Source organism: Homo sapiens, chromosome 4, assembly GCF_000001405.40.
Source record: "Homo sapiens chromosome 4, GRCh38.p14 Primary Assembly".
Lineage (NCBI taxonomy): Eukaryota > Metazoa > Chordata > Mammalia > Primates > Hominidae > Homo > Homo sapiens.
This window is the reverse complement of record NC_000004.12, coordinates 99,636,125-99,659,666: the sequence shown is the minus strand read 5'-3', so window position 1 is coordinate 99,659,666 and position 23,542 is coordinate 99,636,125. Positions and strand designations below refer to the sequence as shown.

At 42.9% G+C, this 23,542-nt stretch overlaps 1 protein-coding gene across 2 annotated transcripts; it reads left to right on the top strand.

The window, feature by feature from the left end:
* The first annotated feature begins 1,838 nt into the window (after positions 1-1,838).
* Positions 1,839-23,138, top strand: C4orf54 (chromosome 4 open reading frame 54). 2 transcript variants are annotated; one of them, NM_001354435.2, is made up of 3 exons: positions 1,839-2,172; positions 4,988-10,436; positions 18,471-23,138. In NM_001354435.2, the coding sequence occupies exon 2, from the start codon at positions 5,019-5,021 to the stop codon at positions 10,398-10,400; it is 5,382 nt and encodes a 1,793-aa protein (NP_001341364.1). In that variant the 5' UTR covers positions 1,839-2,172; positions 4,988-5,018; the 3' UTR covers positions 10,401-10,436; positions 18,471-23,138. The 2 variants fall into 2 exon arrangements, with proteins under 2 accessions (NP_001341364.1, XP_373030.5); XM_373030.12 differs by lacking the exon at positions 1,839-2,172 and adding an exon at positions 3,807-4,148.
* Positions 23,139-23,542: the final 404 nt, after the last annotated feature.

The following is a 23,542-nucleotide window of genomic DNA, read 5'->3' as shown; positions in this document are numbered from 1 at the left end:
CAGTAACTTCTTAAAGCCTAATGAGGCAGCTCTTCTGTCCTGCCCTCCACAATGGGGAGGGTATCCTTGGCCACTCACTTTTCGGGTCCTATATCGTTCATGCTGGGATAACAGACAGAGGTCTCGGATAAAATGGACCAAGATTTAGGGTTAGGCTACTTGAAGTTGCCAGTATTATATAGAGAAAGATTTGTTTGTCCTGTTGATATTTCATTCTGAGGCTAGTCTGGAAGGAATAATTTTCCATTATCCAGCAAAATCTGAAACACCAAAACTTCCACAACTCCCTTGAGAGAAAGCCAGATGAAAACCACTATCTGGGACAACAAGTCAGGTACTAAGAGGAAAAAGAGGGGCAATGGGAGTGAGGAAAGGGAGGGCAGATGCCTAACAGACCATTCAGAGAGGAGAAGGAGAGGGAGGGAGATCAGAGAGGAGTGACTCCTTGATATACAACCTGATGCAAGGGGGAAAGTAGCAAACATTTTTGCATCACCTCTGGCCTCTGTGTGCAGGCTTGAGTGGCTGTTAGTAAGGTTTTATTTCTGGTGGTGAATTGTTTCTTCCTGTCCTTCCAAGTTTTAATGGCATAGCTAAGGGGTTGCATCTACAATGTGTATGGCATGATTCTACAATAACGTGCTCTTCTTTGCACAAGAAGATAGTGCTACTTATTCATCCTCACGGTACATGCTGTTTTTCTATTCACAGGGATAGTTTTATACTAATCCTGCCACTCCGTTTCCTTGGACTCCATGGTGACCAACTGTTCCTGTGTGCAGGCAGCTGGTTGAGGCTGTGAAACAGCTAACTGGCCAGCAGTGGGCATGACCCTGTGACCTCCACCAAATAGACTGAATGCTCAATCATCAACTTAGCGTGAGCTCCAGTCACTCAGAGCTGGGTTCTAATCAAGGCTCCAGCACTTATGATTATGAAAAGTCATTCAGGGCACATGTCTTCACTCAGCCTCCAATTCTTATCTATAAATGGGAATAATAGTTGTTCTTTCATGGTATGTTTGAGAGGAGTAATGAGCAAAAATATGTAAAGGATTTACCCCAATAGACAAATAAATAGCACTCTTTGGCACCCTCAGGAAAAAAGATAATACGGTGCCTCTCCTTCAGATGTAATTCTTTTGCATGCCTACCTTGGCCAGGAGGAGAAACAGCTGGCCACCCTCTGAGTATTAATCTGTGGCCCGCAGAAGAGACTCCTTTCCATCAGTGTGTGTGAATAGCTGTGCAAGTGTCTATGGAAAGCCTGACACAAAATTTCAGGTAGTCAGAGAATATCCCTCACCCACCACATCCCAGAAAATCCTGAGAAGGTCTGTGTTTGGTAAATCCTTTTTCTGACTCCTTATTTGAGTCTGAGTTTGACTCTCTCTTCATTTCTGGTCTAGTGGTACACCTTTGATAAACTGTTCTTCCTTTTGAATAACATATTTATTTATCTTATTATGCCACTGTCAGAAACCCTAAATATAGCCGTGTCCTTTTACCAACTGGTGGATAGTCTGGCCTTCATTCTTTTACATACCATCATCTCCAACACTTTCAGGGAATGCTAAGAAACTTTCTCTGCAGAGATAAAAATAATGATACTGAGTCATTGCCTTTGTTACTCTTTGAATTCCCATATAAAGTTATCAACTAAGTGTACCTAGCCTGGTCTAGCAAGTATGCCTGCTTAATATGGTTTAATGCTGGTGACATTAGTCACTGTTAATTGCTCAAGAGTTGAGATCAGGTAGGCAATCACTGAGTTCATCTGTTAAAAAAATGACTGTAGTCATATTAAGGAATAAAAGGCTCCATGGCTACCTAATGACTGCAAGTTATTTCAACAAAACTGACAACATCCATTTTCATAGTAACATATACTACTCCAGAACTCTGAAAATGCCAGAGGGAAAGCAGTTTGGGGTTCTTAATTGTTTTACTTTAGCCTTTATCGTTTTTCTATTTATCAGTTGTTTTTTGCTTTTAATAGAGTCTGTTCTATTCAAAATTTTCAGCTCACATGGTTTTTAAAGAGAATTTGTGGTTTGAATTAAACCCGACTGGAAATTGACTTCATTTGAAAAAGATTTCTCTTCAAATTTTTTCCTACACTGGCATTCATTTAGCTAGAAAGCAGTAAAGGAGCCACACAGATACTTTGGAGGTAAGTACTACTGTCAGAATGATGCTCTCTCTTTGCCTCTTGGGGAGTTTTAACTAGGGCTGTGCTCTGTGGAGGAAGCAAGATGCTGCAGGTAGATTTTCAGAACTTTGGGTATTAAGCAATTATGTTTTAACCTACACTTAGGGCATATGACCTTCCAATTTTGTAGTGTGCCAACTGCAGAGAGAAACTCAGCTGAAATCTGTTGTCATGACAGACAAGGCCATATGAAAAGTGCTGGAAAATTCCTCCTTAGACTATAATTGACTTGATGGGCAGAAACTCTGCCTTCTATTCCACTATGGAGTATGTATGCACCACAGTGCTCACAGCTGTGTTCATGGTTTATCGTCCAAGACACGGTTAGCCTCAAAGCAAAATTTAAATGGGACATTGAAAATACTCAGCTTGCCTGAAGGAGCCAACTATATGTTATTTCATTTTATTTCTAGGATTATGATCCTTAATCCCTGAGTACATAATGTGTACACAGTTTTGTTATATGAAAAACCAGAAAAAACAAACAAGTTATATGGTATATGTGTGGTCACGCAGATGAAATGAAATTGCCTAGTGGATAAGTGGCTTCCTTCTAATTGTGAATCCGGGTGCCCTGCAGAGTATTTGAGCATGGAAGTCAGCAACACTGTGTAGCATAATGGTAAAGGTCCAAGCTCTGAAGCCAGACTGCCTGGGTTTGAAGTCTGTCACATAATTTCTTAACATCATTCTGCCTCAGCTTTTCCATCTATAAGGAATTAGAACAATGATTACACCTAACTCATCAAGTTGTTATGGGGATCAAATAAATTAATACACACACATTTAAAAATGTTTCAAGTAGTTCTTGGCACATAGTAAATGCTATGTAAGTCTTAGCTGTGAATATTGTAATTACTATCATTAAGAATCTAAGAGCTGGGCATTGTGGCTCACGCCTGTAATCCCAGCACTTTGGGAAGCCGAGACGAGTGGATCACCTGAGGTCAAAAGTTCGAGACCAGCCTGCCAATATGGTGAAACCCCATCTCTACTAAAAACACAAAAATTAGCTGGGCGTGGTGGGGTGCTCCTGTGGTCCCAGCTGCTAAGGAGGCTGAGGTACGAGAATTGCTTGAACCCGAGAGGCAGAGGTTGCATTGAGGCAAGATCATGCCACTGAACACCAGCCTAGGCAATAGAGTAAGTCTCCGTCTCAAAAGAAAAAAAAAAAACTAAGATAAAAAAAAACATGGCTCTCTATAATCAAAGAGTTGATTGCACATTTAGCAAGTTCTCTCGCTCTTTACTCTTTCATTCTCTTCCTTTCTTTGTTTCTTTCCTTTTCCTTTCCTCTTTTACTCTCTTCACCTAGATCTCTGGCTTTATGTCTATATTCTGATTCTTGGTATTTTTAGTCTTGCCTTAAGTCATACTTTTAATGGCAGTGGTGTGGGCAGAAAGGAGTTGAGAGGATAACGGCAGGCTTGTGTTGTCCACAGCCCAAGTATGAGAAGGTAGATGCTTCAGTTGTTAGGGGCTCCCACTCCATACCTACCCACATGCCTATTCGGAGGAAAGAACATTTTTCTGTGTGGAGGTGGCATTCATGTTGAAAGGGGATGGTTGATGGTGTTATTTTTGTTCCCTGCAAATGTGGTTGTTTAAAATAGTGCTTTATTCAATCGGCATAAGTGACACATAGACTATGTATAGTGGTGGAACTGGGCCTGGCAGGTGACAAGGGTCAGATCTCACCAAAATCAAGCATCATGGTTCTCCACCGATAGTACCCAAGGAATCAGCTCTGAGGATGGCCAGCACAGACCCCCATCTTAAGTTGACTGGCAAATTTGCTTGCACAACTACCAAATTGTCTGAAATGGAGGTACCTCAGAGCCAGTGAACGGGGATTTTGGCTTCGTTTCCATGGGGCATGCCAGTGGGTCACATTTCCTCTCTGAATCTCCCTCCAAGCCGCACTGTACTCTTGAAGGGTAAGTGTATTTGTTATTCTTTTGCTTTTTGACTCAGTGCCCTGCAGGCCTGGAATTCAGCCAGCGTAACCGAATCATGAGGCTGCAGCTCAGGCTATATTTAATTGGAGGTTTGTTGTCTTGCCATGGTTCTACAAGTTTAGGGATCTTTTTTGAGATTGATTAAGGCACTGTAGGGATTTGAAGTAGTGTCAATTTTGGCTCCATGTGCCCTTTTTAGTGACCATAATGAAAAGTTTGCTTAAAGTGTTAAGTTTAGGTCTTTGAAAATTGCCCTTTTATACTTTGAGTCACCACAGTAAGGATTCTAGGAGAGATTCTTCTATTTTGAACCAAACAGGTCGTGTTTCATAGAGTGTAACTTTGGGGAAAGAGGGATGGAATATTCTATTCTTATGAAAAGTTTTACTACCAAAACTCATCTGATTTGGCTCTCCAAAGAAAAAGAAATGCATAGATTTTGAGGCAAATATAAGGCTACCATATGTACCAGGGAGACTTTGAAATATTTCCAGAGTGTCCTTAATTCATGCGAAATGCGTGAAAAATTTGAATTTTATTTAAGAACAAGTGGGGGGAACCATTTAATCAAAAACTTGAGAGTGAAAGATGGCTGTGAGGAAAGAATAATTTCATACTTGCTAGACATCGCTATAATAGATTACATAGAACATTTGGCTGATTTGAATTAGAATCCACATGCCTCCTCCACCCCCAACCTTCTCTTTTCATCTCATTAGAGCCTCTTCTTTCTACCCTCAAGTGTGGTTTCGATATGACTACGGAATGGACACTAAAAATATTTCTGGAATGACGTGACCTTCTCTCGCCCCATCCAGGAAAGGGACAAGGCTTCACAAGAAACAGCACATGCTTTCCTTTCATTTCTGGAAGTCCCGGGGTCAACCTACAGATGCTGCTTCTTCCGTGGCCGATGGCATTCAGACTCCTCGCTGCTGCCGACGGTGCCAGGCAAACAACTGGACAGGACAGCTCAGCTACAGAACACTGGCCACAGTCTCGGCCGGAGCAGCAGCCCCCCAGCCACAGACCACCTCCACCGCCTCATCCAGGAGCCTTCCCACCTCCCTCAGGCTTGCTGCGGCCCCGCCACAGGGGCTGAAGAACTGGGAGGTGGTGGCAGCAGTGGCAGCAGTGCCTACAGCCTTGGGGCCAGTCCAGATACGTGGGACCCTGCTTCGGGCAACTCTGCAGCCCCTCCGGGGCCAGAGACGGACCCAAGACTTCCCCAGCGATCACCATTGTCTCTTCCTGTCGCTGAAACCTGGGCAAGGGCTCATAATGGAAGCTGCCCCTCCTGAGCTGAATTCGAAAGCAAGACAGGCGGAGGTGGGGGACGGGGTGAGCAGTGCTCAAGACAGCCAGGAGCTCAAGCAGCAGCTGTGGCCACTTCCCAAGCCTTCAGCCTCCTCCCAGCGAGAAGCGAAATATGTGGACATGTGTGCTTCAGCTGAAGTCCAGAGGGAGAGTCCCCAGACCATGAAACTTACCCTGGGGCACTGCCCTGGGGGTCAGAGGGCCTCTAGGAGCCCAAAGGAGAAAGCCCAAGATGAACCCAGCAGCAAGACTCCAAGCCCCCAGAACAATCCTGCCTCCTCCCAACTCTCTAGATCCCAGCACTCTGCCTCTGAAGAGGGTGGCAATTTCTCATCTTCCTCATCCTCCTCCCCGATGAACAAAGCAGAAGAGGATGGCCTTTCCAAAATGGAGGACTCCACCACATCCACAGGGGCTCTGGCCACCTCCTCTTCATCCTTAGGCTTCGAGAGTGAGAGTGGTGAAAGTGAAGGTTGCCAGGCCGTGGGAGGAGAAGGAGAGAAAATATCAGGAGGAGGGGGAGGAGGAAAAGGAGGAGGGGGAGGAGGGGCAGGAGATGGAACAGAGTGCAGGGACATTATTGCCAAGTCCCAGGGCAGCAGGGACCCCCCCAAAGTCGAAGAGGCTCACTACATCACCACCCATGAGATCCAGCTGAGTGAGGTGGAACAGGACATGGATTTCGACGTGGGACTGGCCTCCCGCTGGGATTTCGAGGACAACAACGTGATCTACTCGTTCGTGGATTATGCTTCCTTTGGTGGCAGCGACGAGACCCCAGGGGACATCACCAGTCTGACCGAAGAGGACGACGACAACAGCTGCTACCTCAGCACCACTCCCAGCACCAACACCACCCGGACGCCCAGCCCTACAAGCAGCGACCTGGCCCGCCCCAATGCAGGCCGCAGTGGCCGCGACACCAGCAGCACCGAAGTGGGCAGTGGCCCCTCTGACAGTGGCCCCACTCCCCCACCCACTGGGCCTGGCACTGCCCCCCTGACTGAGCCCTTGCCTGAGACCCCGGAGGCAGCTTCAGGGGCAGCAGCCGCCGCCGCAAGCAGCTGTGGGAGTGCAGCAAGCCAGATCCTCCTATCAATCAAACCGGCTTCCCGGGCTATAAATGAGCCTAGCAACGTGCGTGCAAAGCAAAACATTATTTATGCTGCCAAGCATGAAGGCGACATGAGCCTCCGCGTCTCTACAGCTGCTGAACACAATTCAAGTTCGCTGAAGCAAAACCCGGCTGCAGCAGTGGCTCAGGACCATGCAAAGAAATTCATTGCTGTACCTGCTCGCCTGCAAACCAGGTGCGGGGCCATCCGGGCGAAGGAGCTGGTGGACTACTCCAGCGGAGCCTCCAGTGCCGTGAGCGAACTGGACGATGCGGACAAAGAGGTGCGTAACCTGACCTCCCGGGCCTTCCGGAGCCTGGCTTACCCCTACTTTGAGGCTCTGAACATCAGCTCCCGGGAGTCCTCCACCACGCTCTCCGAAGTGGGCTTTGGGCGCTGGTCAACTTTCCTGGACTTAAAATGTGGGGGTGTTGGGGCCAGGGTGGAGCAGAGCCTCCTCAGGAGCAGCGCGGCCTCTGTGGCTGCAGGTCTGAGGAAGGGCAGTGGGGCCCGGGCCACTGCCGACCAGCTCTACATCCAGTCCAAGAAGTCTCAGACCAAGGCCTTGGAGTTCGTGGTCAGCAAAGTCGAGGGGGAAATCAAACATGTGGAGACGCCCCTGTGTTTCCAGAAGCAGGTCCAGACGGGCTCCCGCGTCGTCACCCTTTTGGAGCCCCTGAATGTACGCAGTGAGAGCAAAGCCAGCTCGGCCCCTGGGCCCGGCAGGGCCACCAAAGGCCCCGGCAAGGGTCCCGGGTCGGCATACACGGACGACGGCTCCGAGACCTCCGAGGGCAGCAAGCCCACCTCCCGCGCCGATGGCCCCCAGAAGTCCAAGTTCGCCTCCAGTCTGCTCAAAAATGTCATTTCCAAGAAGATGCAGCGGGAACACGAGTTCAAAATGGAGAGGGGAGAAGTCATGGATACATCCCACCACCTCTCAGGCACCTCCAAGGAGACGGAGGGCGCCCGCGGGAGCGAGAGGCAGCGAGAGAGGGGCCTGCAGAGGCAGAGCTCTCGTCACTCCGAGGCCGGCTCCGAGTACACAGTGGTCAGCATGTCCGACGCGGGCGGGGAGGGGTCCGTGGCGGGCTCCAAATCTCCAGTCTTCAAAGCCAGTACTCCTCGCGAGCGCAACGCAGGCCCTGGCCGGAATTTCACCGATGGACACACAGAAGTGTGTGAAATTAAAAAGAGTGCCTCAGAGACCGTCAAGGGCATCTTCCTCCGTAGTCAGAACAGTGCGTTCCGGTCATGGAAGGAGAAAGAGGCCGAGAAGAGGGAGGAACAAGCCCCTATAGGGAAGCTGAAGCTGCCCAAAGGAGGCGACTGGCGGGCTGATCTCGGGGAGATTTCTGCCAGCAAGAACACCATCATGTCTCGCCTCTTTGTCCCCAACATCCAGCAGACACCCAAGGACAAGCAGCCGAGGAAGCAGGCCACCAAGTACCCTGCTGCTCAGGCCACCTCCACAGCGGTGATCAGACCCAAGGCTCCCGAAATCAAGATCCGGCTGGGGAGTGTGCAGCAGCCGAGCTCAGACTTCAACATTGCCAAGTTGCTCACGCCCAAGCTGGCCGGTGGCAGCGCCTCTAACCTGTTCAAGACCATCGAGGACAACAGCAGGGCACAGCAGAAACTCTTCCGCGGGGACAACCTAGAAAAAGTGCCCCATTTCCAGGTGAGAGACATCAGAGACAAGTCCAAGGCTCAAGGCCCCCTCCACCAGGTGAGAGATGTCAGGAAACTAATTAAAGGGTCAGGGGATAGTAGTGACAAGGGCAGTGTTACCCCAGAGCAGGGGCTGACTGGACCCAAACCCAGGCAGCTGTCTGCAGCAGCTGGCGGATCTGGATCCCTGTCCCCCATGGTGATTACATGCCAGGCTGTAGTGAACCAGAGGGAAGACAGCATGGACCGAGAGCCCAGGGAAAGCATGGGCAAAGGGGGCGGCAGCAGAGTCTTGAATTCTTCCTCCCCAGAAGGGACAGTCTTGGTTCACAGGGCATCTGGCAGGCTGCCTGTGGCTACCATTGCCCCCAATAAGCCCGAGCAGGGCTCATACCTGCCTGTGCTCAAGATTGTCTCCAAGGCTTCCACCCAGAAGACCCCAGAGAAGCTCAAGGAGGAGGAGGTCAAGGAGGAAGGGAAAGCCACGAAGCCAGCCCGGAATGCCCTGGAGAAGCTGACTGCAGCCGTGAGGTCCATGGAAGAGCTGTACAGCTTCAACAGGAACGAGTGGAAGCGCAAAAGCGACCCCTTGCCTATGATGATGGACAGCCACGTGCTGTCGCTCATTGCCAGTGAGGAGAGGGAAGGGGTAGTGGTTGCTGATGGAGACCACGACAAGCTGTCCAAACGGCTGGGTGAGGTGGAAGAGCGGGGCACAGGAAACAAAGCTGGTGTGGTCCTGCGAGGGGCCCCCATAGAACGTCTGCAGCGGAGAAACTCCAACCCCAGCGCTGAGAGTGTGTCTGCCAGGGCAGCGGCCTTTGAGAACCTGGCCAGGGAAAGACCCCGATCTCTCTATATTCCCCCAGTCCACAAGGATGTAGAGAGAACCCAACCCCTGCAGCCCCTCCCACCACTCCCCAGCAACCGGAACGTGTTCACAGTGAGTGCCAGCAGCATCCAGAAAACTGGGGGTGTCGCTGGCAAGTTCCCACAAGGGCCTTCTCCGGAGAGTCCTTCAGCAGCTAAGGGCATCAAGTCGCAGGGACTCCGGTCCCTCAAGATCTCTCCAGCCACCCGGGCACCTCCTGATGAGGTGACCAACAGGAAAAGTGGCAGCAATTTGGAGAAGAGCAACAGTGACTGTGAGAATTACCTGACCATCCCTCTTAAAGGAAGCTCTGCTGCAGGGGAGCTTCTTAGCAGGCCTGGGGCTTCCAGGGAGGGGCCCCCCAACTCCTCAGCTGCCACTCTCTGTAGTTTACCCCCGCTGAGTGCCCGCAGTCAGGTCCCCAGTAGCTCCAAAGGCTCTCAGGTTAGTGGAACCAGCCGACCAGCTTGGCGTACCAAACCTGACAACCCCCGGGAGACAGTAGCTGCCCCCCCAGGGCCACAGAGCCCCGAGCATCCCCCCACCACCATCTACCACCAGCCGCCGCTGCCCTTCACCCTACAGGGGGCCCAGCCTCAGGTCCTCTGCTTCTCCCCACCCAGCATGCCTGCCCCAGCACCTGCAGCCTCAGCTCCCGTCCCCACAGACCCCTTCCAGCAGGCACAGCCTCAACAGACCCAGCGTAAGATGCTCCTGGATGTGACAACAGGCCAGTACTATCTGGTGGACACACCAGTACAGCCCATGACCCGGAGACTGTTTGACCCTGAGACAGGGCAGTATGTGGATGTGCCCATGACCTCCCAGCAGCAGGCTGTGGCTCCCATGTCCATCTCTGTGCCTCCCTTGGCCCTGAGTCCTGGGGCTTATGGACCCACCTACATGATTTACCCTGGGTTTCTGCCTACCGTGCTGCCCACCAATGCTCTGCAGCCCACACCAATTGCTCGCGCTCCAAGAGGAAGTGAGCTCTCCCCAATGGTGGCAGAACCTTCCAGCAAAGAGGCAGCTGCAACGTTCACCGAGGCCCCATACTTCATGGCTTCTGGTCAGTCTCCGGCCTCCTCAACCTCCTCAGCCCCAGCAGCCACATCCCAGCTCCTAGGGGCCAAGGCCTTTGCCCAGCTGCATGGCAAGCCTGTCATCAGCATTACTTCGCAGCCCCTGGGGCCACGGATCATTGCTCCCCCTTCCTTTGATGGCACCACCATGAGCTTTGTGGTAGAACACAGATGATGAGCAGCCACCAGGAAGCGGAATGAAAAACTGCTGGTAAGTGAATTTCACTTTGATAATCAGGTTTAAGAGAGTAAGAACAATATTTTTTTGTTTGTGTTTGAAGTGAGAGATTTACAATAAAGGAGGCTGTCTCTAGAAATGGATGTTTTGAGAGAATAGAACAAAACTGCATCCAATTTACAAAGGGGATAATTTTGCCAGGATTCCCCCTCTCTCTAGGCTTCAGTCCCCAAGGTCGGCCTTTGCCCTTTGACCTTTTCAGATTGCCTGAGTGTTTTTTCCCACCTGAGAGTAGAAGGGAAGTGAACCTTGGGTCTGTTCCTTCAGTCTGTCCGTGGTGAACGTTGTCAGGGCAAAGAAATGAAAACCCAGCTTGGATTTTGTGGAGTGAGCCTCACTCTGTTCATGACAGTCCCAGGGACAGGAGGCACTGAACATCCCAGGAGGTCATTGGAAACCCCTTCAATCTGTTTGCTCCCCAGAAGTATGGAGAAGCAAAGACAGATGTTTTCTTGTAGGAACATTTTCTAAAATCTGCAGAAAAGCTTCTTTCTCCTCTGTATCTTCCTTTTGAAATTGCTTATACAAAGCGACTGTATTTTTTAAGCTCTTGTTTTTCAGTTTTCAGATAATCAGAACATGTTCTCAGGATGAGTTCAAGGTCTCTAATGTGTCTTACACACACACACACACACACACACACACACACTTTGTTCTCTATGGGGGAGGGAGGATTCTGGAGCTGCAGTTACTCCTTGCTTGAATGGAGTTGCTGTGTTTAATCCAGTCCTGTCCAGACTGAACACATTATGCTTTGCTGCTAATCCCCACAAGACTGTTATTTTCATGTCTGCATTCTTTCTTCAGAAAAGAATCAACTTCCACACCTACCCCTAGGTAAAGGAAATCAGGGTAAATAGATTCCTGACAACTAAGTTAATCCAAATGTCCAAACAGGAATCCCTGGAAATACAGTACATGGAACTTGATAGGAAGAGTGAGCTTTACTTGTTCAAACCGGGACACTTCAGGTCAAACACATGACAGGGCAAAGACACCTTCAGATAGGAGCGTAAAGGTGTCAGAACTGTGTGGGGACAAACTTGCCCCTTACACTCCTGTTCTCTTCAGATTGGGAAAAGGTGATATTATAAAAGCTTCTAGGACTTTCAGTCTTTGGTAAGATCATATTCTGAACCAAAAAAAAAAAAGAAAAAAAAAGAGATGGAAAGAAGAGAAATCCTATTTATGCTTCTATAATAAAAAATATGTTATTTCTCTCTTCTCTGTTATAACTGAAAAGGAACAGGAATATTGTTGCTTTGTGCAATGAAAGAGCCTTCATTCGGGAGTTAGCATCACTGGATTTTGGAGTCACACAGCTTCTCACCAGCTGTGTGATGTTGGGCATGACAAACTTTTTAGCATTCATGTGTCACCTCTAGTAGGGACAATAAATAATATCTAACCCTAAACATGTATCTAAATATCAGATGATATAACAATGTATTGCAAGCTAAAAATTTTGTTCAAATTAAGAGATTGTTACTGAATATTATTACACTTATTGGACTGTAAGACAATATTAGACACTTTAAAAAACCCTTAAATCTTTCTCTAAGAATTCACTTGAAAGCACAGCCTCATTTTAGCTGCAATCTAGAAATACATTATTTAAATTCTTCTTCTGGGATAGTCTGCAACAGACACTGTGTGATGATAACAGATGAAGAGGGGAGGGAGAAAATTAAAGACAAATAAGTCATCTTTTGTTTAGTGTAGAAAATTAAAAAAAAATTCAATATGCATGGGTAGGAGACTCAGAATTAGAGAATTAGTTTCGCAGAAGGAAAAGAGTAGCCTATAGGCAAAAGTGTTTTAATCGCTTAGACAGGTGGTGTGTTTACCTAGGGCTATTTTGGACCAACTAATGCTATGAGGCCTTTGTGCAAGCTGTGGAGGTGCAGAAGCAAGGGGAAGGGAGGACAGGGAAGAGAGAAGGGAGGATCGGGCACACACTTGCACAGTATCCTCTTAAGCAGCTGCCTTTGGCCTTTCCCCTGTCTGTTGAGTCTAGAGAGATTAGACTTGGAGTTTTTTCCAGTAGACACAGATATACATTAGAGTTTTTAGTGTTTGGGACTTGAATAGTGATATTTGCAAATTTTTCCTTTTTGAAAGCACGACCTTCATTTTAGTAAATAAAGCCCTAAAGATAGACAGAAAGGCCAAATCTGGCTGGCAGCTAAAGATTAGCTTTTTGTATGCAGGTAAAAGTTGACTTAGCCAAATTGAAATAATGAATTAAAAATTTTTCAAAACTCACCTTTGTGAACATTCAATACCACCTTCCAAAGAAAAGCCAGATGGATTTTTTTTAAGTGTGTAATTCTTTTCCTTGTGTAAAAAAGTTGTAACTACCATTCAGATATTTCAAGATGGTCAGTATGAGAAATCTTGAAAGGGATTTCAGGTCAAAATTTCCCTTAAAAACCAGACTTATTGCAGATATTTGTTTTGAGGTAGGGTAGGTTTATGTCCTCTTTTCAAATGAGAATTTGTGTAAATGATTTTATCTGACCACAGTATTTCACAGAGAAGAAAACTGGGACTTAGAAAGAAATGGTTTTACTGAGGTCCCCAGAGAATGAGAGAACCAGGACCTTTAGAACCAGCTCTTAACTCCTGGGCCACACCTTGCTCCCTGCAGACCACTCTGTGTTCCTTGGTGTGAGGCATGGAGCAAAAAAGGGACAGTAAAGGAGGTGGTAATGAGCTCTGAACTGGCAGCAAGGACACCTGGGATCTGCTCTGTGGTGGCATTTGGCCATTAACCATCTGTGTTTCCATTTGCCTCTCTGGACATTTGTAAAATGAATGTTTCAACAAAATGCACTAATTCAACAAGCATGAATTACATGCCTACATTCTACGAGCCACTGTGTACTCCCTGTTGGGGCCGTAAACCCACATACGGATAACACAAATTAGGGGCCTACACTCCAGCAGGAGTGTAGACTTGTACACACAAAACTGCAAAACAAGTGTTCAAGAACTGTCATAACCTTTAAGATTCATTCCAGTTCAAATAATAAGTATTTCATCATCTATTTTTAGCACTACATTGCAATAGGGAGCTTCACTTTTGTTCCTTCCCGTATATATTTGGACATAAACAGCTGCTGTTATCTTTTTCTGATTATTCTCTTATAAATGTTCCTTTATTAAAAAAAAAATTATAGGTGGGGTTTTCTCACTTCTCTTCATCCTGTGGTCAATATCCCAGTTATTCTCAGATTTTGCCATGCCACAACCCATCTAAAAAGATAATATTATTCACTTTATTATTATTCAGTACTCTCATCTCACATTGTGATTAAGGCACAAGGCTGTGTACCACCTGGGACCCAACTGCCCAGATGGCTACAGCAGTAATCCAATTGCAACACACCAGTGTACTAGGCACAGCAGTTGCAAAACTTCACCACTTTCTTTTTTGTTGTTGTTAGGCCTTTTTGTCTGCCTATTTTGGTTTTTAATGTTCCCTCTTCACATGATCTTTGACAACTTTTTAGTGAGAATTTTTTTTTAGATTTCTGTTATTTGAGGAACATGGCTATGTTTTTCCCTTCCTGACATGCTCTCCTGCCCATCCACTTAGATGCTGTATTTTTGTTTTAAGATTTTAATTGGGACTTGATGCTAAATACCATTTACAAGGGCATAAAGATAAAATAAATATGTAATATTAACAAAAGAAAACTTTCATTGGCACAAGTAGTGGATATCAGCCTAAGAGAATTGCAATTATTTTGTTTCATTTGTATGTTCTTTTTTTTTTTTTTTTTTTTTTACTGTAAGCCTTTGTTTCTTCATTTCTCCCTGTGTTTCATGTTGCTCCTGCATTGTTGGTCTTTCTTTTCTATTTAGTCCCTCAGAGTTATTTCTACCCCCTGTATAGGGCCCCATGCATCAGCAACTAAAGTAGCAAGAGCAAGGGCTGGATTCAGGGAGAGCTGTTTTATTATTCTAATGAGTCCCTAGACTGGGTCCTTAGATCATCAAACCCAGTCTCTTTGTATTGAAATTCCAAGAGGAAATTGGCACTCAGAGAGGTTAAGTGACCCTTCCTTAGTCACAGAACTGGGACTCAAAACCTAAATATTCCATGCCAGAGTCTTTTTCTTTTTTAGAGATGGGGTCACTACATCGCCCAGGCTGGAGTTCAGTGGTACACAGGCGCCTTCTTCTTCTTGTCCATTTCTCCTTTTCCTTTTCTCCCTAAGGCCACTTTTCTTTGATGGAGTTACTTCCTGGTGTCTGTCCCACTAGTCTCTCTTTTTTCCATTGCCATTTGCTTGAGAATTTATTTTCTGTCCTTTGCTTTTTTTTTTTTTTTTGCAACTTGTTCCTTATTGCGGTTTCTCATTTTCCATTCACTTCAACTTGATTTAGTTCAACATTCCACCACCTTGCTTCTTCCCTTCTCCTCACTTTTTTTGTAGTTTTTTTTTTTATTATTATCATAGATTAGACAGCTTAAAGGGTAGGACTGGGTGAGTCCTCCAGCTCCCTCACCTGAATGTTCTTGAAGCGTTGTACTTGGAGCCCACGCAAGTCATCTGAAGGACAGGAAATTTGCTGCTCCGGTGCATGCAGGCCAGGTAGCTAATCTGCAGGCTATAACCTAGACGTTTTATTTTCACTTCATTCCATAGTTACCTTCATGAATTGAATAGTTTATTTCTATTTTCCCCACTAACTTGGTAGTGACTTCCTCTCCCAATTATTGTAAATAGCTTCTGTTTTATTTTATCTTCTTAATGTATTTGTTTGTTTTTGCCTTTTCTTTTCTCCCTTTCCCTTTAATTGCATTGTGGCTTTCCTCTAGCTTACTATTTTGTACCTTTCTTCACGATTCCATTACCTTTACATTTTCTTTTTTAACTTATCTAAAATTAATAAGAAATTAAAAGTAAAAGCTAGTATGTATTAATCATTTAGTATATACCAAGACTTAACATCATTGAATTAACACAGATAGGTACTATTTTTAATCTCTGTTTGACAAATTAAACATTAACTTATCCCAGATCAACACCTATTGAAATCCAGGCACTTGGAGCTCCGTGGCCCGTGCTCTTATAGATTACCCCCTTGCTCATTTATTTGTCTTATTCTCTGCTCGCTGGTCTCAGTTCTTTGTTGTAAATTGTCCCTCTTCTCTTATTTGTTCTTTGTGTCAGGACTTTCCCACTACCTAACTTCTCCAAAATTTTTCAGCCATTGCATTTTTCCTCTCGGCCACATCAGTACGTTAAAGGGTTAATTATATGAAACATTAAAGTCCTTGTGGATGGTGGAAAAGAACACAGTTGGAATTGACTGGCTGCCCTGCTGCTAATTTTCCAAATTTCTGTTTCATTCAGAGGAAATAGAATCTTCTGGCCGTTTTACTGCCGCGGAGGGGGTGTGTGTGTGTGTGTGTGTGTGTGTGTGTGTGTGTGTGTGTGTGTGTGTGTGTTGTGGCTTGGGGGAAAGGGCAGGGAAAGGGAATAAGGTAAGAAACTGACCCTGAATCTGTCAGTGTTAAGCATATACTAAAACTCTATGTGTGTTTTTCATTTGATTAAAAAACTAGCTGTCCTTAGAACATTATATGCCCCAAAAAGAAACCTGAGACAGCTTAAGGACTCCTAGGAGCTGTGGCTCCCAGAGGTAGGAGAATTTTTGTTTATGTAAAGCAGAAGAATGTGCGCTGTAAAGGTAAGGGTGAAATCTTCTTGGATGCCAGTGGATTAAAGCATTTTAGTTGAAGGGAAGCTGTGTGGCTTTTACTAAATCACAAGTACGTGTGCCTTGAAGTCAGGCAACCCCAACTCAGATTCTAATACTGTTACTTACTAGTCTAAGTAACTAGTCTTACTTACTAGTCACAGTGTAGTCCAGGCAAGTGACTTGTTGTCACTGAGCCTCATTTTCCTCATCTGTAAAATGGGGTACATTTCAGGAGAGTAGTGAAGACTGAATTATAAAACCATGACAGAAGACATAGCACATAGTACATTGCTCGTAGTAGGTGTTCAAGCTCCCTTGAAACTAGATCCTCATAAATGCCTCAGAATCCCCTTATCTTCTCAGGGCCCCTCACCAGAGCAGAAAATCAGCCCTTATCAATGCAGACTCCCAGGGTAAGCATCATGGACCTGTGCCCAGGATTGCTCTGTATTTCCCCAAACCGGAGGCAGTGCCCACAGCTCTGCAGTCCTCTTTGAGCTAGCTGGCTGATCTCTCAGGGCAGGCCAGTTGGCTGTGTGTCAGGGTACTCTAGTATCCCCCAAGGCCTTCCAGAATGTTATACAACTCTGAGCATAGCTTGCCAGCTGTGTGCGGTGATTTTCCCCTCTGTCTGGGCACAGGCCGGCGTGGAGAAAGGGAAAATCTGACCCAGCATCCCTGTTGAACTCTGTCATGTGTTCTGGTCCTAAAACCGTGGGAAGTCATCCAGTTAAACTCCCTGGTGACACAGGGTAGTCATCCCTTCATCTTTACTGACTTCTTCGTGATCCATTCTACTGCAGTAAATATTTGTGAGGCCTCTAACAGGTTAGCTATATTGGCGATTTTTATTACTTTTTCTTTAATAGGAATTGGGAGCAACTTTACTACTTTTCAATTTCAAACCAAATTCCTCTGAAATTAATGTAAGCAGAAGCGATATTCTGTGACTATCCAAAAAGGCAATATCTACACTATCAATCCCTAAATATGATCCTAGCAGATTGTATAACCAGATTTCTCCTTCATTTCTCAGACTATTACCGTCCTATAGTGCAATCTCTCTCGATTGTTTCTTTCTTTTCTCTCTGTTTCCCCTTAATGTCTTCTCACTGCTCAAGGAGTCTTTGCAAATCTTGCCTAGTGATAGGACTCAGTCAGAGTTGTTATCAAATCCTTGTATCCACATTGAAATTATTCTTCTCAGTCCCACATTTTCTTTTCTCCCTCTTGTAATTAAATTTTCTTTTCGTATTGCTGCTTTTTATGTCCTAAGGTAGAAAAACTTACATTTAGCAAATGAGAGGTCTCCAAATTCACAATGGTCCCTTTCATCTTGCAGGTCATTCCTCAATATAAAGTACAACACAATAAAATAAACATGGAGTGTATACATATAAGCTTAAAAATTATTCTTATAGACTTCTTTTTTAAAACACATATTTAAACAGGTTTGTTTCTAGATGACAGAATTAAAATGTCCCTTGCCTTGCTACTCTGAGTGCATATAATTGGCTAGATAGCTGTTATTTGATACTTCTTGGAGGTTATTTTTCACATGAGCCTTCTTAATCCCTAACAAATATTACCTGTAGGCCACTCTATTTCTGTTTTCATAATATTATGTTCAAATATCAACTCCCAAATGTTAAAAAAAACTTACTTAGGCAAAGTTCTGGTAGATATACTAGAACTTATATGGAGATAGAGAGAGAAGGCTAACCTTCAGCAAGCTTTTGAACATGTCAATGCTGTTCTAGAATGGATTTAACTAAGATAGGTTCTAACCAGTACATCTTATTTTGAACAAAATGTACTATGTGAATTTCCACATAATTTAAGTACTGGTCATTTGCTTTACAAGAATTCTCAGCATGGAGTTTACTCATTTAATAAGATTGATAACTAAATTTCAAATATTTCCATTTAGCTTAAATATTTCTGCATGCTAATATTAGAAACATATCTATTATAATATTTTATCTTTGCTATGAATGATTTCAATGAAACGGAACATTTAACTTTAAAGTCATTTTTGAAGAGTTGATTAGATTTGATTCAAATTCCACTTGGGGCAATTTCCTGAAGTTGGCATAATGTTTAGTAAGTTCATAAACACATTTGCCAAGCACATGTTAAAATGTTAACTTCATTATTAACATTGAAATTAGTCAAACAGTTAAATAAAATGTATTTTAATATTTTTCTTGTTTGTAAAAGTGAAATTTGCTTTTAGAACTAAAAATCTTTTCCTTGACTATGTTTTTTCTTAATTTTTTTATTTTATAGGAGCAAGACAAAAAGATGGACTATTCTTCTTTAATCTGGAATTTGCATTGTAATAGCACTAAGAATTATTTCATCTGAAAAACTTCTTCCACATGTGTTATTCTTAATTTTTGCTTCTTATAAGCTAAGTGTGTAAGTTTCTATATTTTTCTGAACAATCCTCTTAAGGCAGTTTTTATTTTAATTTTATTAAGTTGATTGAATGGTTGCATTTTTTCCCTTTATGACTATTTCTTTTTATACTTCAACACAGGATATAAGCTTTCTATTCACCTCCTTCCCCCCTGTACTTGTGACTAGACAAACAATTCCTTTGTTCCCATTGTTCAGTCAAAACATACCACAGAATGGGATTGATTCTGTTGTAAACCAAGCTAGTAAATGAGTAATTTGGATCACGAATCTCCTTATAGTTTCTTGGAATATATCAAGACTAGCTGGCTGAGTTGTAATACGTATTTAAGTTTTCACTATGATGGTCTGCTCTTTGAATCATATATCAGCCAAACCTACCCATTCTCTTGGTTATGCTCTATATGTTCTTTTATTAGGTTTGGCATGATTTCAAATGTGATTGTGAAAAATGGTGGTTGTAATGTTTGTGCTTTATTTTATTTTTCCCATTTGTACAATGCCACGACACTATTTGTTGCCTTAAAATAGAATGGCTTGAAATACTGGAAAGCCAATGATTGCATCTAAAATTAAGTACTTAGTCTCAGAAAGGTATAAAATATCTATTTTCCTTTAAGAATCCAATTATTTTTGTGGGTGCATAACATTTTTCTTTTCTTCAATAATTCCCTCCATAGTTGCATACTCGTGTCTCTCATGGATTGTTTAGAGTCTAAAGAGTGACCCATTTGGGGCAGTAGAGTAGAATATGGCACTAATTCAGTGGCTCTGATTCACTCCAGCCCTAGCCTCGCTATCCCAATAACAGTAACCTAGAGTTACAGCACTTGCTCCTTATGAGGATGAGGCAGGTTTGAAGAGATGTCAAGAATCCAAATCACAGAATCTTTTATTGACATTTAGTACTGTCTCAGTTGTAACCCAATTCTGAAGGCTATTTGAGTGAGTGTTCACAGGGAGTCTTGAAGACTGGAAGACTTGATTGAACAGATAAATATTTAGCTTGTCATAATAAGTGTATCGATATATACTTGGCAAATGTTACATTGAAATATTACTTAATTACTTTTTAAAGGAATAATTTGAAGGTTTTCCCAGGATTTTTTTTTAAGAATCTCCTTTTATTTACCAATTTGTTTAAAGATAAAGCATTCTGGTAATTTTTTAAACACCCTAATATTATTTTAAACCTCAGCAATATTTGATTTCTGCTTAAATTTTCTTCATAAGCCACAGAATTTTATGCTACTCATGACAAAAAGTGTGAGTAAAAAACTAGGAGACTGAGTTTTGTATGATTTATATAATCTTTTTACTTTGTAGTTATGCTTCCCATCTCAGACTCTTAAAAAAGACTTAATTTCACTTTCAGGGCCTTCCTTTAAGGGATCTTACTCTGAAAAAAAGTTCTCTTGGGTATAGGGAAAGGTTTGAGGCGGGAATAGTCAGCTCTGATCACGATTCAATTGCTTGTTGTGCTGATGAGCTATGAAATGAAGCTATAGACTTTATGAGACATGAAATATGAAACATAGTCTCTGTGTATAAAAAAGATGCCCTTGTGCCAAATTCAAGAAAAAGATATTTCTTTATCATAGAGGTCTTCTTACCCAGGCACATCAATCAATTCCCCCCAGAACTTAAAGTAAGTTTTATCCACTGGGGAACAAATCTTATGGCATCAGAGCTTCCTCGTTTTCAGGAGAGATTGGCTGGGTATAAGGTAACTTAATATTGACCCAAGAAAGTAGAATCCCTTTCAGAAATCTTACACTTATTTTACTGAAAGCAGCACCAAGAAACCTCCAGTATTTGAATACACCTGGTGAAACCTATATAGGATTTGGGTGGATAGTACCAAAATTGTTAAGACTGGTTTAAAGCCAAATGCGACTTTCAGGAAAAACCAGTGGCCATGTTGAGTAGTGACTGCTCACCAACTCTTCCAAAAGAGAGACAACTCCTTCTCTAGAAAATGTGGTAGAGTTGAGGGCTTGGGACCCCTAATCTATGTATCAGTGTTTCTCACCAGCAGATTTGAGTTTTAAATTCTCACACTGAGGTAAATTAGGACACAAACTAAGGAAAGAAAGAAAAAGCTTTTCATTTGTTTGTTCTATACAAGAGGCTTCACCTTTTAGGAAGTTGCCAAGGACACAGTGATGTCCAAGTGGCTAAAAACGCAACTTTTAAATAATGTTCTATTAATATCATGTCATCTATCGATAATTTTATGGTTCTCTATTTCACCAAATCATACAAAGCTGCTAGGCCATTCACTACCTCCAGTGATAGGGAAAAAATATTTTCACGGGCATGAGGTAAATCTCAATCTTGATTTTTATTGTTTTGTCATTTCTTGAGGTTGCATGAATATTTGAATGAAGTGATATACCCTTCCTTTTATAGCTCAAGGGGAATCAAACAAGAGCCTATGAAGCCTTCTGACCCATAAAACTATTACCCTAATAATGTCCCTTTAGTTACTGAACTTCCCTTTTATTTTTTATTACTATAAAACCATTAGTAAAACATTTCCTAAATAGTGCCTTGAACTTGAATCTAATCAGAATTGCAGAGTCTGGCTTTTATAATATCCTCTTAGGGTTATATGTGTGGCTTAGTTTTCCAGAAGATCCACTTTTTACTTGTTGATAAAATGGTCATATTTGAAATATGTCCCATTTCAATCATTTCTGGAAAACTGAACACATGTGTAACCGTATAAAAATTTAATTCGCCAGAATGTATGTTTTTAAAAAGTACTCAATGAAGTTGCCCTCAGGATTAAGTGAAGGCCCAGATATGTAGGTAATGACATAGCAGAGAGGCTCTCTATATGTCCATTTATCAGGGAGTAAATAAGCTAAAGCAAATCACACTTTATATCTTTATAACAAATCTCAACTATTGACATGCATTTCTAATACATCCTTATGTCACTGGAAATATCTGGTGATATAAATTCCTTTTTCTTATTTTCAAATTTGACATTATCATCCTTGCCTCTTAAAAAGATAGATTTTAATTGTTTTCATACTTCATAGAAATCAAAGTCTGTGTTTGCTACAAATTGAATGCTCACGTTACCTGAAATAATACTTTGGACTGCAGGACAGGACAGTATTGATTCCTAAGTAGATTGACTATAATCTCATGATAAGTATGTATATGTGCATGGGAAAACAACATTCAATAATAGTCTTTGTGTTTAAAACTATCATGGTATACATTTTCTTATGTGGTGCTTGAGGAGTTTCATTCTACAGTTTACAAGGTGTAGGTTTGCACCCCAAATTCTCAGGGTATGCTATTTCACCCAAATACTTGAAAGAAAAAGGTGCCCTGTATTTTATCAGTACTGTTGAGGGGGAAATTTTTTGTGTAAGTTTGTTTGATAAAACTGCTTATAAAAATCAAATTCACAAAATATGTTAGGCTTTCACATAATTTCTAAGGAGATATATGTAGAAATAAGATATATATTATCAAGAGACTGCTTATATATTCTTAACTAGCTTCTGGGTCCTAAGTAGACCTCACAGGTGCATAAAATCATTAATAAAGCATGTAGCACTTGCTAATTGGTGCCTTAAGCTTGAATCTAATCAGAATTGCAGACTCGGGTCCTCTGGGAAAAAAACATGTCCGTCTGTGGCACGTGTGAGTACTAGGCCCAGGGGAAGAGTCTGAAAATTGAATTCTTTTGTGTGTCCTGTGTCTCAGAAGAGAACTGAATGTTCAGAGCAGCGTTTGTAAGCTATTAACATTCAGTATTTCGTGTTGCAACTAGAACACATTATTAGATTTATTCCTGTTTAATTCATAATGGTGCAGAATAAAACACACACATCTGATTTGATTTCTTTTTCTTTTTTTAAGTTTCATAATTGCTTTTTATGGCTAGTGTTAATGGCAAAAAGTCCTTTCCAGGGCTCCCTGAATAATCTACCATACCTGTATCCATAGCAGGTGATGCTTTTTTTTATCCCCACTTTGAAGACGTGTGTTTCTGTATTTACACATAAATCATACTATTGTATATTAAAGACAGCAGTGGTTGAAAAGAATGTGAACACTGTAGAAGTTATGTTGGAAAAAAGGAGAGTAAATTGTGTGATTAATGGGGAAGGATATTGGATAATGTTATACCCCGGACTATGAAAAAAGCTGGTGGTAAATGGGAAGAATGTGAAATTTTAAACTGCTCTCAACGTAGGAATCTTGGTGGAAAAGTTCCTACCTGAGGTCTGATATGATTCAATTATAGAATGCAATGAGCTTGGCCAAGGGGACTTTGAATCCAGCCAAGGAAACTTTGAATCTCGACAGCTCTGAGAATCACATTTTCAGTGCATTGAATATGGAGTAAACTATTTAGACAAGGATTCTGTGAGACTAGGCTACTTACCTTTAATTGCCAGCATTTGTAAATGATTGTGCAATCTTGTGTAATGGTCTTTTATTTTGACTGTTTTGGAAAAAAAATGTTTTATTGTTTTTTTTTCCCAGTAAAAATTACTTCAAAGAAAACGTACATTGTTTGTCTTTACTTTAACTCAAAAAACAAGCTATGGATAGTTTTATTTTCTTCTACTTTAAATCCTTCATTTAATTAAAATACTCTATTAGTATTTCACATCCAGGTACTATTAATTTTCTATTGCTGTGGTAACAAATGACCACAAATTTAGTGGCTTAAGACAACACAAATTTATGATCTTACAGCTCTGGAGGTCAGAAGTCTGGTATTGATTTTTGTCTGTACCCAGAGTATTTTACTTCCTGTACCTAGAGTATTTTGGCCAACCTAAGGAGTCTGATCTGAGCTTGGCTCATTAAGTAGCATTGTGAGGAACACCTACCAAGGTGTCTGACATTCCACTGACACCAAAGAGCAACACAGACAACATGTGTCCCTGAGAGTCCACAGTGAG

Coding starts and splice junctions, on each gene's coding strand:
- C4orf54 (XM_373030.12), top strand. CDS start 4,081: ATGGGGCATGCCAGTGGGTCACATTTCCTCTCTGAATCTCCCTCCAAG. Junction 4,149..4,987: donor CCGCACTGTACTCTTGAAGG/GTAAGTGTATTT, acceptor CGCCCCATCCAG/GAAAGGGACAAGGCTTCACA.